Consider the following 19539-nt stretch of genomic DNA (forward strand, 5'->3'; position numbering starts at 1 on the left):
GCTATAAAGATACTACCTGAGACTGGATACTTTATAAATAAAAGAGGTTTAATTGACTCACAGTTCTGCGTGGCTGGATAGGCCTCAGGAAACTTACAACCATGGTAGAAAGCTAAGGGGAGGCAAGGCATGTCTTACATGGTGGCAGGAGAAAGAGAAAGAGAGTGCAGGGGAAATACCAGACACTTACCAAACAACCGGATCTCATGAGAACTCCCTCACTAACACGTGAACACTAACACCCCCATGATCCAATCACTTCCCACCAGGTCCCTCCCTTCGCACGTTGGGATTACAATTCGAGACGAGATTTGAGTGGGGACATAGAGCCAAACCATATCACTACCATTGCCTTTTTTTAATTTTTAATTTTTGTGGGCACATGGTAGGTGTATATATTTATGAGGTACATGAGATACTTTCATATAGTCATGTAATGTGTAATAATTACACCATGGTAAATGGGGTGTCTATCCCCTCAAGCATTTATCCTTTATGTTACAGACAATTCAATTATACTCTTTTAGTTATTTTTGAATATATAATTAAATTATTATTGACGATAGTCACCCATTTGTGCTATCAAATACTAGGTCCTATTCATTCTTCCTATTTTTTGTGCCCATTAACCATCCCCACTTCCCCGCCACCAGTCCCCCACCATTGCTTTTGCTCCGTCCTGTTGATATTTACACTCATGGAGCAAATAAACACGTTAGTATTATTTTGAGTAATGGTCAAACAAATGAAAAGGTACTCAGCTTCTTTAGTAATGGTGAAATTACAGATTAAAATAACAATGAAATACTATTTCATGCCCACCAGGAGGGCAGAAGTTTAAAATTCTGTGAACACTGGGAGTTGTCATTATGGATATGATGCAACAGGAACTTTTTTATCTGGCCGGTGGTATAAGTTAGAACAACTACTTTGGAAAACATTTTGGCTGTATCTTCAGAACACATGCAGACCTTGTGATCCAGCAATTCTACCCTAGAGAAACCTGTATGTGTTATACCAGGATGTATGTACAAGAATGTGCATAGCAGCATTGTTTGTAGTAGTCAAAAATTGGAAACATCCAGATGTCTGTCAACTGTAGAATGGATAAATTGTGTTATGTTCATATACTATAATATCATACAGCAAAGAAAATGATTGAACCACAGTTACATTCAGTATCAGAGATGGATCTGGCATAATCTGGAATGATTCAAAAAAAGCACTAAAGAATATAAACAGTATAATTCCATTTATGTAAAGTTCAAAAACAGGCAAAATGATATTGAATAAGAATATAGCTCACTATTCTTAAAATGCAAGAAAATGATTTTCACAAAGTCAAGATAATAGATACTTTAAAAGGGAGGGATGGAGTTGTGATTGGAGAAGGGCACATGAGTAGGCTTTTAGGACTCTGGCAATGTTATTTCTTGATCTGGGGAAAAAGATAAAGTAAAAAGAAAAAAACAAACCAAAAACCCACAGTGTTCCTCTGAGTGGATAGAAATTTGAAATTCTTTTCATTTTGCTTGTCCTGTATTGCTATTATAAAAAGGGTAAGCTTTTTAAAAATGAAAATACATTGATTTTTACCATTTTTGCTTTGTTTTTTATTTATTTATTTATTTATTTATTTATTTATTTATTTATTTATTCTGAGAGGGAGTCTCACTCTGTCACTCAGGCTGTAGTGCAGTGGCACGATCTTGGCTCACTGCAACCTCTGCCTTCTAGGTTCAAGCAATTCTCCTGCCTTAGCCTCTCGAGTAGCTGGGATTACAGGCACCCACCACCATGCCTGGCTAATTTTTGTATTTTAGTAGAGACGGGGTTTCACCATGTTGGCCAGGCTGGTCACAAACTCCTGACCTCAAAGTGATCTGCCCACCTCGGCCTCTCAAAGTGCTGGGATTGGGATTACAGGCATGAGCCACCGCACCCAGCCTGTTTTTAAATTATAAAAGTAATACATCCATTAGACTGATTTTTTAATAATAATGATATTTATTCTTACAGCTTGATTATAAAGCATACTTTTTCCTCATCAAACAGTAACACCTGAAAGATTCGATTGCTAGTCTTTCACCAAATGCCAAAAATCCTGGTGAATTCTCTTTTAAAGTAGCACTATATGCTTGCCTAACTTTCTTAATTCAATAGTATTAGATAAATTACCATTGGAAAGACTATTTTTCAAAAACGTTATTATATGCCAAAGAGGAGACTATGATAAATCAGAGTTATTGTAAGAATTAAACAAAATAATATACAGAATAATAGTTCCCAATAAGTTCTGTTAAATCAAAATCTGCCACGATTTGAAGCAGCCTTCTTGAAAATAAAGGTTAGTGGGCTGGGCGCTGTGGCTCACGCCTGTAATCCCAACACTTTGGGAGGCCGAGGCAGGCGGATCACGAGGTCAGGAGTTTGAGAGCAGCCTGGCCAATATGGTGAAACCCCGTCTCTACTAAAAATACAAAAATTAGCTGGGCGTGGTGGCGTGCACCTGTAGTCCCAGCTACTCAGGAGGCTGAGGCAGAAGAATCGCTTGAACCTGGGAGGCAGAGGTGGTAGTGCAGCCGAGATCGTGCCACTCGATCCAGCCTCGGGACCAGAGTAAGATTCCATCTCAAAAAAAAAAAAAGAAAAGAAAAGAAAGGTTAGTTTATGTGTGTTTATGCCAAATCCCATCTCTCCAGAGTTTAATATATATTGATAATAGATTGATTAGCAACGTTCTCAAAGATCTCATATACTCTTTTTTTTTTTTTTTTTTGAGATGGAGTCTTGCTCTGTTGTCCAGGCTGGAGTGCAGTGGCGCAATCTCAGCTTACTGCAGCCTCCGCCTCCCTGATTCAATTCTCCTACCTTAGCCTCCTGAGTAGCTGGGACTACAGGTGCCCGCCACCACGTCCAGCTAATTTTTTTTGTATTTTTAGTAGAGACGGGGTTTCACCATATTGGCCAGGCTGGTCTTGAACTCCTGACCTTGTGATCTGCCCACCTCAGCCTCCCAAAGTGCTGGGATTACAGGCGTGAGCCACTGCGCCCGGCCAGATCTCATATACTTTTGACCACACATCAGTAAAAATCAAAAAAACCTTAGGAGAAAAAAAGGTAACACCATTTACATTAGACTGATTTTTGAAGTGAATCTGCTTTAGTGCCTACTGTGCTATGTCCATTTAAAAAATTTTTACATGTTCTGAAATTTTGTATTCTTGCAAGTTTATCTACCTCCCCCTAAATTTTAAAATATTTTATTGTTGTTATTTTTATTTTTAGCCCTTTCTCCTACGCATATTATTCTCCACCCTGTTCAGTATGGTTTCTGTTCAGGACTCAAACTGGAATGCAGATTTTCTTCAACCACTTTACACCCACTTCTTAGTTGAGACAGATTGCCAGAGTCCTATGTAATCTTACAGATTCTGTGGGTGTCAAAGGATGTTGCTTCTTTATACTGTGCTAAGGAAGCCCTTGTTTTGTGTGTCTGTGATGTGTTTCTGGATGACAGCAGCAATAATACCATCTACTTTCTAGGCAGAAGAGAGGCAAAGAGAGGAGCAGCTGGTCTCATTTGACAGGTAATAGAATTATTCATACAACCTGCTGGATAGTTGAGATGGGAATCTATCTCGTTATATTTTAATTTTAAAAATCAATGAAAAAATAGAGGGCAAAAATAAGGGGGCACCTGGAGTGGATAACATAATCCACAGAATAAAATTAAAAAGGCAAAACCATGGGCTTTTCCAAGCTCTTTGAGTTATTGGAAGGAGTAATTTCAAGGTGAATAAAAACTTCCAAGAAACCATTGATGTCTATGTGTTAAGCAGAGAGCTTGACTCCCTAGGAATAAGTATGAACCTACATGTCTACAGATTAGGAAGTCTAAGTCATCTTACCTCTAATGCAGATTTAAACCCATCAGAGTTCTTGGGTCTCTACTCATTTATAAAATGGAAGCAACTCATCCTTCTAGGAGTATTAAGAGGGAAACCAGACAATTTGTATCTGAATGATGTTCTTAACTTCTCCAAACTAATCACATGGAAGTGTATTTGTGGTATTAGTTCAGAACTTGATATGTTTTAGCATAGATACACATCCATCCCTCCCCACTACACTATGAGCACCTCAAAGGCTTGGGGACTCTGTCTTACTTAGTTTTGTATCTCTAGCACGAAGAGGACGTTATTTAAACATTGTAGGGGTGAAGTATGATTTATGATACTGATGGGAAAACACATAATAATGGAAAATTTCAAAGTGTTTTATATCTAGTATAATAAGTAATATGTTTTCCTTTTAAATGCTTGAAAATAAAGAGGCGTTGGGGCATGGTGGCTCAAGCCTGTAATCCCAGCACTTTGGGAGGCCGAGGCGGGTGGATCACCTGAGGTCAGGAGTTCGAGACCAGCCTGGCCAACATGGTGAAACCCCATCTCTACTAAAATACAAAAATGAGCTGAGTGTAGAGGCAGGTGCCTATAATCCCCACTACTCTCGAGGCTGAGGCAGGAGAATCTCTTGAACCCGGGGGGCGGAGTGAAGTAAGCGCCACTTCACTCCGGCCTGGATGAAAGAGCGAAACTCCGTCTCAAAAAAAAAAAAAAAAGCCAGGCATGGTGGCTCAAGCCTGTAATCACAGCACTTTGGCAGGTTGAGGCAGGAGGATAGCTTAAAGCCAGGAGTTTGAGACCAGCCTGGGCAACAAAGCAAGACCCCCATTTCTAAAAAGAATTTTTTAAAAAGTGTTATAACATTTCACTAGCTTTCTGTTAAGAGGGTTTTTTATGGATTGTTTTTTAATAGAGATGAGGGTTTTGCTATGTTAGCCAGGTTGGTCTTGAACTCCTGGCCTCAAGCAGTCCTCCTGCCTCGGCCTCCCAAAGTGCTAGGATTACAGGCATGAGCCACCGCGCCTGGCCTGTTAAGAGGTATTTAACCCAAAGCATAACCCCAAGGAAATTTTGGAAAACTAGGAGATGTGATTCTGTTGAACTAACTGGCAAAGCACTGATAGGTCACTTAGCTTGCTCTTCTCCACCCACTTAGTACTGAAGGTACTAATGCAGCTTGCACTTTGAGAGTGCCCTGGAAGATGATGGTGCAACATAATTCAATGAGTTCAAATCTCTGGCTACTTTCCTTGTCTGGCAAGCCCCAGTGAGATTACAGAGTATACCCCTAAATGGAAACAGCCAGGAGTCCCATCCGTCATAATTCTGCCACATGTCAGCTTTGCCCATGGAAGCTGAGTCTTTGTTTTCCTGATATCATCAGCTCTTTGCTTCTGGATATGAAGAATGTGGCCCTCCAAGACTTTATTGATAGCAGAGGACTGGAGCCCTGGTAATGTCTTTGCATAGGTTCTGCTGGCAGTAGAGATGTTGGAGATATGTCTTGTTATGCCTTTGAGAGGAGAAATCACCTAGTGTGCCTGTTTCCCTGCAGCCATGAGGAGTGGAACCAGATGCAGAGCCAGGAGGATGAGGTGGCCATCACTGAGCAGGATTTGGAACTTATTAAAGAAAGAGAAACGGCAATTCGGCAGCTGGAGGTGAGAGCCACGTCATGTTTTTTGTTTGACTCAGTGTGTCTGCAGGTATCTGAACTCCTTAGTTCACTTTAATTCTCTTAGTGATTATGAAAAGGCATAAAATGTGTCATTGTGTGATTTGTATTTTTTCTGTCTCAGTGTAATCATGGTGGGTTTGAACTACCGGTTTTTTTTGTTTTTTTTTTTATCTTGGATGGAATTTCGCTCTTGTTGCCCAGGCTGGAGTGCAGTGGTGTGATCTTGGCTCACTGCAACCTCTGCCTCCTGGGTTCGAGCGATTCTCCTGCCTCAGACTCTCGAGTAGCTGGGATTACAGGCATGTGCCACCACGCCCAGCTAATTTTGTATTTTTAGTAGAGACGGGGTTTCTCCATGTTGGTCAGGCTGGTCTTGAACTCACGACCTCAGGTGATCCACCCTCATCGGCCTCCCAAAGTGCTGGGATTACAGGCGTGAGTCACCGCTCCTGGCATGAACTACTGTTATAATGGCATTGGCCTTGGTGCCCAGGAGTACTCAAATCCTTTCCTCAATCACCACATCTTATACGGATCACCACATCTTATTTCTCCTGGAGAAATGTACATGGAGAACAGAACAAGGCAGACAGATATTTTATTGCTCATTAGAACTTTGACCTCAAATCTCAATGCCAACCTCCGGGTTAGGCAGGACTCCATGGAGAGCCCCTTTGCTTAGTCTGAAGAGCCCAGAATAAAGGCAGGCCAAAAGTCTTGCTCCATTTTTGTATATCCTAAAGTCTAATCCCAAGTTGTACATCTTATCCCTTCAGTGAGTCAGAGAAATAGGAACAGTTTTTGAGGTGGAGGTTGAGGGAGAAGTCTGTAGGCCTTTCTTACCTAACTGAGCTTTCAACTTTAATTTTGCACAGTGACTAATAAAATATCCTTTTTTTTTTTTTTCCGAGACTAAGTCTTGCTCTGTCGCCCAGGCAGGAGTGCAATGACACTATCTCAGCTTACTGCAGCCTCCCTCTCCTGGGTTCAAGTGATTCTCCTGCCTCAGCCTCCTGAATAGCCGAGACTACCAGTACGCACCACCACACTCGGCTAATTTTTGTATTTTTAGTAGAGACAGGGTTTTGCCATTTTGGCCAGGCTGGTCTTGAACTTCTGACCTCAAGTGATCTGCCTGCTTCAGCCTCCCAAAGTGCTGGGATTACTGGCATGAACCACTGTGCCCAGCTAAAATATCCTTAAACCTGAGTTTTCTCCAGTTTAGTTTTCTCCGAAGGTAGAAGGCTGCCATTGCTGGGATCAGGGGAGGAGAAAAGGAGAGAGGGAAATTTTGAGCTCTTCCTTGGCCTCCATCTGTAGCAGTGGTTCTGAACTGTGAGTGCACATGAGGATCACCTGGAGAAGATTTTTTTTTAATGCCCCAGCTCTCATCCACCACTAATTACCTGATGGGATAATGTGAAATTCCTGTTTATTATATGTTAAAAATGGGCAAATATCCATTATTTTATATGGTTCAAACTAATAAATCATAATTTCTGGGCGTGAGGCCCTGGGCATGGGTATTTTTTTAAAAAGTTCCCCCAGGTGATTATAATATGCAGCCAGGGTTGAGACCCACTGCCCTAAAGGCCATCAATGTCTGTTTTTATCTATTTATTATTTATTTTTTGAGTCAGAGTCTTACTCTGTCACCCAGGCAGGAGTGCAGTGGCGCGTTCTTGGCTCACTGCAACCTCCACTTCCTGGGTTCAAGCGATTCTCCTGCCTCAGCCTCCTGAGTAGCAAAGATTATAGGTGCCCGCCACCACTCCTGGCTAATTTTTGTATTTTTAGTAGAGACGAGGTTTTGCCATTTTGGCCAGGCTGGTCTTGTCTGTTTTTAGATGGGATAGTTTATCCTTAAGTTATGATTATTTTATTGCCTTCAAAAATGTCATATCTTTACTCTTTTTCACCTACTGCTACTACTAATTGAATTAATTGTCTAACATTAGAAATATGGCTAAGTGCAATGGCTCATGCCTGTAATCCCGGCAAGTTGGAGGCTGAGGCAGGATGATTGCTTGAGCCCAGGAATTCAAGACAGCCTGGGCAGTGTAGCAAGACCTTACCTCTACAAAAAATAAAAAATTAACCGGGTGCTGTAACATGTACCTGTGGTCCCAGCTACTCAGGAGCCTGAGGCAGAAGATCACTTGAGCCCAGGAGATCAAGGCTGCAGTGAGCCATGATCGTGCCACTGCAATCCAGCCTGGGCAACAGAGCAAGACTCTGTCTCAAATAATAATAATAATCCTTCCTTCAAAGAAAAATTACTAGCCGGGCGCGGTGGCTCATGCCTGTAATCCCAGCACTTTGGGAGGCTGAGGCGAGTGGCTCACCTGAGGTCTGGAGTTCAAGACCAGCCTGACCAACATGGTAAAACCCCGTGTCTACTAAAAACACAAAAAATTAGCCGGGTGTGGTGGTGCATGCCTGTAATTCCAGCTACTGGGGAGGCTGAGGCAGGAGAAGTGCTTGAACCTGGGAGGCGGAGGTTGCAGTGAGCAATTGCACTCCAGCCTGGCAACAGAGCGAGACTCTGTCTCAAAAAAAAAAAAAAAAATACAGTTGGCCCTCGATATATTTAGGTTTCACATCCTCAGACTCAAGCAACCGTGGAGTGAAAATATTTAAAAAAAACTAAAAAATAATACAACAATAAAAAATAATACAAATGTAAAAACCAATACAGTGTAACAGTATTTTATATAACACATTGTATTAGTTCAGTACATTACTAATACAATGTAAGTGCTATGTAAAATAGTAATGTAGTATAAAATAGTAATGTAACATTATATAAGTAATATAGAGATGATTTAGAATATAGGAGAGAATGGGCACAAGTTATATGCAAATACTATGCCATTTTATATCAGTGACTTAGAGGGAGGGAGTCCTGGAACCAATCCCCCACGGATACCAAGGGACGAATGTACCGTTATAGCAAAGTGGAGTGAGACATATGGAGCTAAGGAAAGAAATGTAATGGATGCCAGGGTATAATGGATCATTTCATATTCAACAGAGGAAAGTCCAAATTCCTTAGCCTAGGTTCAATTTTCGTATCTAGTAATTTCCAAACTCTGACATACACATTCTATGTTATGGCAAAGCTAGGTTATTTGCTCTTTAACTGAGTTGCCTTTCTGTTCATATGACCTCTCCTTTGCTTTAAGGCACAACTCATGTCTTACCTCTTCTGCAGAGTCTTCCTTTTCTCCACACCTTTCTATACCATTAATTCAGCCATTTCCTATATAGTACTCTTCCTTCTTATTTATTTTATTGTGCACTTATTCCCCACGTCCACCCCAGTTAGCTGTATTCACAGCAACTAGCAGACTACCCCAACTATGGTAGACTCTTAGCAAGTGATTGAAATGCTGACAAGACTTGCTTTAGCAGATAGTCCACTATAGTAGACTCTTAGCAAGTGATTGAAATGCTTGCCAGGTTATGATTCCAATAACCCTTCAAACCTGGAAGGGAATTGCCCTCAAATTTCCATAGGGTCATGCCCCATATGAGCACCCCTTTAATAAGACAGGTTTCCATTGTCTTTCTTCTGCCTGATCATGAGTCAGAAAAACTCAAATATAGGCCAGACGTGGTGGTTCACACCTGTAATCCCAGCACTTTGGGAGGCCGAGGCAGGCGGATCAGTTGAGGTCAGGAATTCGAGACCAGCCTGGCCAATGTGGTGAAACTCTGTCTCTACTAAAAATACAAAAATTAGGGCCGGGCACAGTACAAGCTCACGCCTGTAATCCCAGCACTTTGGGAGGCCAAAGTGGGTGGATCACCTGAGGTCAGGAGTTCGAGACCAGCCTGACCAACATGGTGAAACCCCATCTCTACTAAATATAAAGAATTAGCCAGGCATGGTGGTACATCCTGTAATCCCAGGTACCTGGGAGGCTGAGGCAGGAGAATTGCTTGAACCCAGGAGGCGGAAGTTGCAGTGAGCCGAGATTGCACCATTGCACTCCAGCCTAGCAACAAGAGTGAAACTCTACCTCAGAAAAAAAAAATAGCCGGGCGTGGTGGTGCACGACTGTAATCCCATCTACTGGGGAGGATGAGGCAGGAGAATCACTCAAACCCAGGGGATGGAGGTTGCAGGGAGTTGAGATTGTGCCACTGCACTCCAGCCTGGATGACAGAGCAAGACTCTGTCTCAAAAAAAACAAGTAATAAATAAAAATAAATAAAAAGAAAGAAGGGACGGAGGCTGGGCGCGGTGGATCATGCCTGTAATCCCAGCATTTTGGGAGGCCGAGGCAGGCGGATCAGGAAGGAAGGGAGGGAGGGAGGGATAGAGAGAGAAGGGAGGGAGGGAGGGAGGCCAGGCACAGTGACTCATGCCTGTAATCCCAGCACTTTGGGAGGCCAAGGCAGTGGATCACGATGTCAGGAGTTCAAGACCAGCCTGGCCAACATGGTGAAACCCCGTCTCTACTAAAAATAAAAAATTATCCGGGCGTGGTGGCATGGGCCTGTAATCCCAGCTACTCAGGAGGCTGAGGCAGGTGAATTGCTTGAATCCGGGAGGTGGAGGTTGCAGTGAGACGAGATTGTGCCACTGCACTCCAGCCTGGGTGACAGAGCAAGACTCTGTCTCAAAAAAAAAAGAAAGAGAAAGGAAGGAAAGAGAGAGGAGAAAGAAGGAAGGGAGGGAGGGAAAAAAGGAAGGAAGGGGAGGGAGGAAGGAAAGGAAAGGGAAGGGAGAGAGAGAGAAGGAAGGAAAGAGAGGGAGGGAGGAAGGAAGGAAGGAAAGAAGGAAGGAAAGAAAAGGAAGAAAAAAGAAAGGGAGGGAGAGAAGGAGGGAGGGAGGGAGAAAGACCCAAATATAGGGGATTTTGCCAATGTTAAATTCTTCCACTGCTGTTAGGAAAACAAGCTGCAGTTCAGCCCACTGAGCTGATTTGTGTTTACCTTCTTTGATCAGAGCAGTAAATAGGTTGTAGTCCATTCACTTTGGAACTGCTATCCACAGACCATCAGCTTTTTGTCAGTCAGTTGGGAGTTACCATAGGGCATTGTCCAGTGATGACAGAATCCAGCAACTCCTCACACAGTTCCAGAGTCAATCCCAGGGGAAAAGAGGCTCCTTACTTGTAGCTCCTCCTTGCATTCCTCAGATAGCATGATCTTGTATAAACATTTAAATTCTGTAGTCCAAAGTCCCAGTGGTTGTCATCGGGAGGCACTCAACAGGCTTTTGTCACAAGGCCTAGCAGTCTCCACATAGGGCTATCACACCAAGAATTTGTCTATATCAGCACTCCAGCCTTCTGCTGTACTGTTTGGACTTGGGCGCTCTTACTGGTTCTCATGTAGCATGTCCCATTAATGTTGCTTGAAGAGTGAGTTTATGTGCCTTCTGTTTTACAATATTGGGTAGGCAGCAATAGATTATTTTCTGTTTATGGAGAAAGCATGCTTTGTAGAGCCTTAAAAACACACGTGTTAATAGCTAAAACTTTAGGTACGTGAGGGAAACAAATCTTCTAACATGTTGCTTAATGTTAGTTAATTGTTTTTTGTCTTCCTTAGGCTGACATTTTGGATGTCAATCAGATATTTAAAGATTTGGCCATGATGATCCATGACCAGGGTGATCTGATTGGTATGTATTATTGATACCTTTAACCTCAAGGTGAGTTGATAGTATTTGGCATGCATCTGTAATCCCAGCTACTCAGAAGGCTGAGGCTGAAGCACCATCTAGGAGTTTGAAGCCAACCTGGGCAACATAATGAGAATTTGTCTCTTAAAAAAGAAAGAAAGAAAGAAAAAGGAGTTAGGCTAGGCGTGGTGGCTCAGGCCTGTAATCCCAGCACTTTGGGAAGCCCAAGCGGGCAGATCATGAGGTCAGGAGATGGAGACCATCCTGGCTCACACGGTGAAACCCGTCTCTACTAAAAATACAAAAAATTAGCTACGCCTGGTGGCATGCACCTGTAGTCCCAGCTACTCGGGAGGCTGAGGCAGGAGAATCCCTTGAACCCAGGAGGTGGAGGTTGCAGTGAGCCGAGATTGCGCCACTGTATTCCAGCCTGGGTGACAGAATGAGACTTCGTCTCAATTAAAAAAAAAAAAAAAATGGAGTTAGTCATATCAGCTATAGAGTTAAAGTATGTTTAGGAATGCCGTTTTAAAAATTACCAAATTTATTTTTCGTAGCAATTTTTTTATGTTATCAAATGTAGAAGTTAAATGAGGCCTCATGAATACTCAGTCCCATTGACTTCTTTGTACATCTTTGTTTAGAGAAATAGCTCTCAGCTTCCCAGCTTTTATCTCAACAAACTTGCAAAATTATGGGGTTAGTAACCCTTTTTTTTTTTTTGAGACGGAGTTTTGCTGTTGTTGCCCAGGCTGGAGTGCGATGGTGCGATCTTGGCTCACCACAACCTCCGCCTCCTGGGTTCAAACAATTCTGCTGCCTCAGCCTCCCGAGTAGCTGGGATTACAAGCATGTGCCACCACGCCCGCTAATTTTGTAGTTTTAGTAGAGACGGGGTTTCTCCATGTTGGTCAGGCTGGTCTTGAACTCTCGACCTCAGGTGATCTGCCCGCCTTGGCCTCCCAGGTGGTGGGATTACAGGCGTGAGCCACCACGCCTGGCCAGTAACTCTTTTTTTTAAAGCTTTCTATGTGGAAATAATTTCGAGTTTATTAAAAGTTGCAAAAATAGGCTGGGCATGGTTGCTCACGCTTGTAATCCCAGCACTTTGGGAGGCTGAGGTGGGAGGATCACTTGAAGCCAGGAGTTCAAGACTAGCCTAGGCAACATAGTAAGACCCTGTCTTTACCAAAAAATTAGCCAGGCATAGTAACATGCACCTGTAGTCCTAGCTACTCAGGAGGCTGAGGTGGGAAGATCACTTGAACCCAGGAGTTGGAGGCTACGGTGAACTATTATTGTACCACTGCACTCCAGTCTAGGTGACAGAGTGAGATCCCGTCTCTTAAAAAAAAAAAAAAAAAAAAGGTAGCAAAAATAAAAATATTATAAGGACCTTCTTTATACCCTTTACCCAGATTTACCTCTTGTTAACATTCTACCCCATTTGCTTTATTATGTATTCTTTCTCTCTTTCTCTATGTGTATCTACATAATTTTTTATGAATCATTTATGGGTAAGTTAAATACTTCATAGCCCCCAAAAATTCATTGTTTTTTCTCCAAAGAAAAGGCTAGTCTCTTACCAAGGTAGTAACTCGATTTCATGGCTGGATAGTTTGGATAGTGGTAGTGAAACCAGGACATGTAACATCAGAAATCTGTTCAATTTGCAGTCTTAAAACATCTGAGTGTGTTAAAACATCCTCTGTCCTTCCTTTTGCAGATAGCATAGAAGCCAATGTGGAAAGCTCAGAGGTGCACGTCGAAAGAGCCACTGAACAGTTACAGCGAGCTGCTTACTATCAGGTAAAAGCGGGTACCAAAGAAAGTCACTCTGTGTTGCAGACTTTTTAGGCCATCAGAGTACATTGACATATTGAGAACAGCTACAGCCTTTGCTTAGGTTTAAGCTAAAGGAAAGTAGTCATAATTGCAGTCCCAGTTCCATTTTTATTATTTTCCTTTGCAGATAGATCTACAAAAAATAATCACACCTTGAATAAACTTATCAGAAGGCTAGTAACTGCAAAGCTAACCCTATACACTAATATGATACCTAAATCTGCTATGAGGCTGTTTTATATCCCGAACAGCTGAATGTATTTCAATTAGGATAGTAAGAAGTACAGTTAAAGTAGAAGACTTCATAGATTCTTTATGTTGAGTGTTGCCATAGAGGATGGACATAGAATCAACTTCGACTGCTATTTATATATGAATAAATAAGGATAATCATTCTGGAACTGTTCCTGTAAAGTGAAATCCTTCTACATGTTAGTTGAAACTCTGGTTTTTTTACTTATCCAAGTCTTTATCTCAGTGTACAAATAATGTGAATGAAGTCTTTCTCACTTCCCTTCAATTTGGTGTTGCATGGCTTTTTAGAAATAAATAGCATTTCATGTCCTTCGCCCACTTTTTGATGGGGTTGTTTGTTTTTTTCTTGTAAATTTGTTTGAGTTCATTGTAGATTCTGGATGTTAGCCCTTTGTCAGATGAGCAGGTTGCGAAAATCTTCTCCCATTTTATAGGTTGCCTGTTCACTCTGATGGTAGTTTCTTTTGCTGTGCAGAAGCTCTTTAGTTTAATTAGATCCCATTTGTCAGTTTTGGCTTTTGTTGCCATTGCTTTTGGTGTTTTAGACATGAAGTCCTTGCCCATCCTATGTCCTGAATGGTAATCAGTGTGGCGATTCCTCAGGGATCTAGAACTAGAAATACCATTTGACCCAGCCATCCCATTACTGGGTATATACCCAAAGGACTATAAATCATGCTGCTATAAAGACACATGCACACGTATGTTTATTGCGGCATTATTCACAATAGCAAAGACTTGGAACCAACCCAAATGTCCAACAGTGATAGACTGGATTAAGAAAATGTGGCACATATACACCATGGAATACTATGCAGCCATAAAAAACGATGAGTTCGTGTCCTTTGTAGGGACATGGATGAAATTGGAAATCATCATTCTCAGTAAACTATTGCAAGAACAAAAAACCAAACACTGCATATTCTCACTCATAGGTGGGAATTGAACAATGAGAACACATGGACACAGGAAGGGGAACATCACACTCTGGGGACTGTTGTGGGGTGGGGGGAGGGATAGCATTGGGAGATATACCTAATGCTAGATGACGAGTTAGTGGGTGCAGCACACCAGCATGGCACATGTATACATATGTAACTAACCTGCACATTGTGCACATGTACCCTAAAACTTAACGTATAATTAAAAAAAAAAAAAAGAAGAAATAGCATTTCAGTTGTTTTCCGTGTTCCTGGGATAGCTGTATTTTACCTGGGAGTGCTCGTAAAGAAATTCGTATTTAATAATAGTGTTTCCTTTAAAAACTAGGTGATTAATTTAGTGTCCAACAGTAAAGGAATAATTAAGTAAATTATATACATCCACTCATTGTTGCATATGGGAATTAAGAGATGTTTCTGAAGAGTTTAAACAGAAAAATGTTTATACTAAACATTAAGTGAGGAAAAACATCAAACATCATACAATGTGATCCAGTTATGTCAAATAATATACATAGATAACAAATCAGAAAGAAATACAAAAATGTTGACGGTATTATCTATGGGTGATTTTTTTTTCTCCCTCCGCTTGCTGTATTTTTTTTTTTACAATGAACATAACAGTTTTATACGTATTATAAAATGTTATTAAAATACACATGCACAAATAACTTATTTTATTGCAAATAATGCCTGGCAGCACAGGTATAGTTCCTTTGCAAAATTGTATGTGGGGACTTGGAATTAAAACTTTGAAACCTATACTACTCGGCTGGGTGCGGTGGCCCACGCCTGTAATCCCAGCCCTTTGGGAAGCCGAGGCAGGTAGATCACTTGAGGTCAGGAGTTCGAGATCAGCCTGGCCAACACTGGTGAAACCCCGTCTCTACTAAAAATACAAAAACTAGCTGGGCATAGTGGCACACGCCTGTAATTCCAGCTGCTCAGGAGGCTGAGACATTAGAATCACTTGAACCTGGAAGGTGGAGGTTTCAGTTAGCCAAGATCGCACCACGGCACTCCAGCCTGGGTGACGGAGTGAGACTCTGTCTCAAGAAAAAAAAAAACACCAAACAAACAAAAAACACTTGCACTACTACCTAGTGCTGCTGACTTAAGATTTCTGGGAAAGTCTGTGCATAATTTTGCATGGATAGAGTTAATCTTTAATTACAAGGAGGCAGATTTATGAAGCATTCTTAGAGTCTTACACATACAAATTTTACTTGTTTCATGAGTATCTTGTTTACATATTTCTTTCCTCAGAAAAAATCTCGCAAGAAGATGTGTATCCTGGTGCTTGTCCTGTCAGTGATTATTCTAATCTTGGGACTTATTATCTGGCTAGTTTATAAAACGAAGTGATTGCCTCCGATCGTTCTCCCGCTGAGCTGTTTTCAAGGGCAAGTGCTTGTTGAAGTCTTGCCAGAACAAACTGATCACAAGAAGACAGCATATATCAGAACGTCCTGTAATCATTTAGTTAGAAACTAACTACTAACTAGTCTTTGGAATTCGTGACCTATGGAGACAGTAATTATCAATTTATTGATTCTATTGATTTCTCAAATTAGGAATTAACTTATGTGGATTTTGCTTCCTCTTGTATTCTGATTGCCCTTCATCCCAAGTGTTTACTGAAAATTCCATTCTAGATATTCTTGTTTTGACAAATGACACTACAGTCTCGTAATATTGTCTTTTATGTATATACAAAATTTACCTTTTTACTAGCATCTGAGATAGAGTTACTTTCTGGTACCCAGTATATTGGAGTCTGTCAGAAACTCTATAATAGGCCACCAGTTTTTATTATTTAACATTTTTATTTGAATTTCTAAGAAGCCTATTCTCTATCTATTTTGAAAGATTTTGGCACTATATTTAATTGGAAGGTAAAATATTGTACATGTGATCCAGAGTAAATGAGAAGTCTCTATCTGAGCTGGTCAGTTACTGGAGTACATGTTACTAATCTGGGTTTAAAGTTTACTTCATTATCTGCTAGTGTCATCCACAGCAGTTCATCCTCATCCACACTAAGCCATCCTGTTAGCTTTTAAAGGAAGTTAATTTAATTAACATTAATATACTCTATGGGCTCCCTCTCCCACCTGTCTGCATAGAAAGGCAGAATTAGACATAGCATGCTTTGGAAAAGCAAATAGGAATTGTTGGGAATGATTTAATCTTGTTGTTGTTGTTGTTGTTGTTCACTTGTGGTTCTACATTCCTGGTGAATGATGAATGTTGCTGTCAAAGGGCTGCCCCCTACCTTATAAGGGTTGCTGGGCATTTGAAGGCAGGAAGATTTTTAAAGATAGATTGAGGTTGGTTTAAAATTATTCCTGTAAACCAACAATAAAGCAAAGAAGAGGTTCATTTTTGTAAATAACACTGGTTTCAAATAGTGATGTTAGACTTAACCTAATTTATAAACAAGAGATTAATATCTCCATGCATAGTTTTAGACAAAAAAAGATGTTTCAATAAAATTACTGTCTTGTAATATAAATGTTGTCCACTTCCCTTTTCCACAGGCCTAGAACAGTTAAAGGGAACATAATTTGTTTAGGCTCCCACATAAATGTGAATCTGGCCAACAACTTTGGTTCATCCTTTAGTGAATTAGAGGATTTGGCTACCCTGAGTATATTTATATTCATTTCTTCTGTTCTCCTTCTGTTATTATACTTAATCTTCTAAACTAAACTAATGTGAACAGTAGGGAAGCAAGGGCCCAAATGCATAAGTTTCTTTGCACTGTTGCACTTACTTAATACAAATAAATGTTTTTTAAAGCTTTTGTAGTATGTTTTTATGAGTTAACATCCTAATGTGGTAGGTATTAGGTAATGTGCTGTCATGAGAAAAATTGAGACTTCCAAGAAAACTGGACACCAGGTGAGGGTTGGTTTGGAGACGGAATAGGTGTAGCTGCCTTTCCTTGAAAAACAGTGTGTAGAGATGGCTGAGTGCAATGGCTCACACTTGTAATCCCAACACTTTGGAAGGCTGAGGCGGGAGGATCAGTATATCGGTACGTCTGAGCCCAAGAGTTCAAGATCAGCCTGGGCAGTATAGCAAGACCCCATCTCCATTTTTTTTTTAATGATTTTTTAATTAAAAAAAAGAACAACAGGATAGAGCTGTTGGGGTGGCACAGTGGCCCAAAGAGCAGCTTCAGAGATAATTCCTTGGTTCTATGATCCCTGTTTAACTCCAAATTACAGTCGGACTTGGATACATCATTTGTAACATTGTAGGAAAGAAAAAAGTCTTGGTTGTGAAAAACGATTTGCATTTGGGTAAAATAAAGTGACCATGCTTTTGTTCTGTAATACTGTGTGACCTGTGGTTGTTGTAATGGTGATCATGGAGAGCAAATATGAACTTGGCCTGGATTTTAAATGGCCTAGAATTTGTGGTAGTTGCCAAAGAGGTTCTCCTAGGTGGTCTTAATAAACCTATTCACAGAATTCTCCTTATCTGTGCCTTGATTATCATTGGGAGCATCACAATCTAGGACAGCAGTTTTTAACATGGCTTCACATTAGAAACTAAAAAAATACAGTGCCCACTTTGGCAGCACGTATATAAAATGGGAACAATAGAGAGAAGATTAGCATGGCCCCTGCACCAGGATGACTTGCAAATTCATGAATTCTCTCTCTCTGTCTCTCTCTCTGTGTGTATGTATATATATACTTTTTTTTTTTTTTTTTTTTTTGAGACAGGGTTTCACGCTGTCGCCCAGGCTGGAGTGCCGTGGCACAATCTCAGCTCACTGCAACCTCCACCTCCTGGGTTCAAGCAATTCTCATGCTTCAGCCTCCCAAGTATCTGGGATTACAGGTGCTCACCACAATGCCTGACTCATTTTTTAAAATATATTTTTAGTAGAGATGGGGTTGTACCATGTTAGCCAGGCTGGTCTGGAACTCCTGACCTCAAGTGATCCGCCCACCTCGGCTTCCCAAAGTGCTGCAATTACAGGCCTGAGCCACTGGCGCCTGGCCGAAGTGCTCTATATTTTTAAAAAAATATTCTCTGTGCTCCTCTTCTTGCTAAAAAATAAAAAATAAATACTGATACCTCAGTCCCACAACTCCAAGATTTTAATTTAGTCTGGAGTATATATAGCTTGGGCATAGGGATTTTTAAAGGCCCCAGGTAATTCTTACCTGTAACTGTGGTTGAGAAGCATTGGTTTGGATGTCAGAAACTAGACTGGGGTACAAAAGACCTTAGCTGTGCCGTTAACTTGCTGAGGGTATTTGAAAAAGTCACTTATGGCTGGGCGCGGTGGCTCATGCCTGTAATCCCAGCACTTTGGGAGGCTGAGGCGGGTGGATCACGAGGTCAGAAGTTAAAGACCAGTCTGGCCAACATGGTGAAACCCCATCTCTACTAAAAATACAAAAATTAGCCAGGCATAGTGGCACACACCTGTAATCCCAGCTACTTGGGAGGCTGAGGCAAGAGAATTGCTTGAACCCAGGAGGTGGAGGTTGCAGTAAGCCAAGATCATGCCACTGCACTCTAGGTCTGGGCAACAGAGCAAGACTCTTGTCTCGGGGGAAAAAAGAAAAAGTAACTTAACCTTTAGGCCCCAAGTTTTCTTGGTAGCTCTTTTCCAGCTACGAAATTTTCTGATTATAAGGACCCACGGCAGTTTAGTGTGAACATACAAATTGTATTTTTACCTCTATCTTCCTTTCATTTTCTCATCTCCTTTTCTTTTTTTTTTTTTTTTTTTTTTTTTTTTTGAGATGGAGTCTCGCTCTGTTGCCCAAGCTGGAGTGCAGTGGCGTGACTCGGCTCACTGCAAGCTCCACCTCCTGGGTTCACGCCATTCTCCTGCCTCAGCCTCCCGAGTAGCTGGGACTACAGGCGTCCGCCACCATGCCCAGCTAATTTTTTGTATTTTTAGTAGAGGCAGGGTTTCACCGTGTTTGTTAGGATGGTCTTGATCTCCTGGCCTCGTGATCCACCTGCCTCGGCTTCCCAAAGTGCTGGGATTACAGGCGTGAGCCATCATCCCCTTTTCTACTTCCTTTATGAAATATCCTAGCAGTACTGGGTAGATCTAGCATTCTCTCTTCCAATGAGTTATTAATAAAACTATGGGCTGGGCGCAGTGGCTCACGGCTATAATCCCAGCACTTTGAGAGGCCGAGGCGGGTGGATCACTTGAGGCCAGGAGTTCAAGACCAGCCTGGACAACATGGTGAAACTCTGCCTCTACTAAAATTATAAAAATTAGCCAGGCAT

General features: G+C 41.4%; 1 protein-coding gene and 1 pseudogene across 1 annotated transcript in view, besides 1 other annotated feature; both read left to right on the forward strand.

Moving 5' to 3' along the window:
- Positions 1 to 17744, forward strand: part of STX12 (syntaxin 12) — a 51225-nt gene extending 33481 nt beyond the window's left edge. Inside the window, exons 5-9 of the mRNA NM_177424.3 lie at positions 3547 to 3590; positions 5464 to 5569; positions 11152 to 11224; positions 12951 to 13033; positions 15532 to 17744. Of these exons, the coding sequence (NP_803173.1) occupies positions 3547 to 3590; positions 5464 to 5569; positions 11152 to 11224; positions 12951 to 13033; positions 15532 to 15630 (405 nt within the window). The 3' untranslated portion in view covers positions 15631 to 17744. The remainder of the gene's footprint in view (positions 1 to 3546; positions 3591 to 5463; positions 5570 to 11151; positions 11225 to 12950; positions 13034 to 15531) is intronic.
- Positions 492 to 1015: an enhancer, noted in NCBI's record as "NANOG hESC enhancer chr1:28133702-28134225 (GRCh37/hg19 assembly coordinates)". NCBI's record gives its function as "activates a minimal SCP1, AML or CMV promoter by ChIP-STARR-seq in naive H9 embryonic stem cells {active_cell/tissue: H9 hESC(naive)}" and the evidence as "EXISTENCE:reporter gene assay evidence [ECO:0000049][PMID:30033119]".
- RNU6-1245P (RNA, U6 small nuclear 1245, pseudogene) lies at positions 17839 to 17944 on the forward strand (annotated as a pseudogene).

The sequence above is a fragment of the Homo sapiens genome, chromosome 1 (assembly GCF_000001405.40).
Source record: "Homo sapiens chromosome 1, GRCh38.p14 Primary Assembly".
In the NCBI taxonomy this organism is placed as follows: domain Eukaryota; kingdom Metazoa; phylum Chordata; class Mammalia; order Primates; family Hominidae; genus Homo; species Homo sapiens.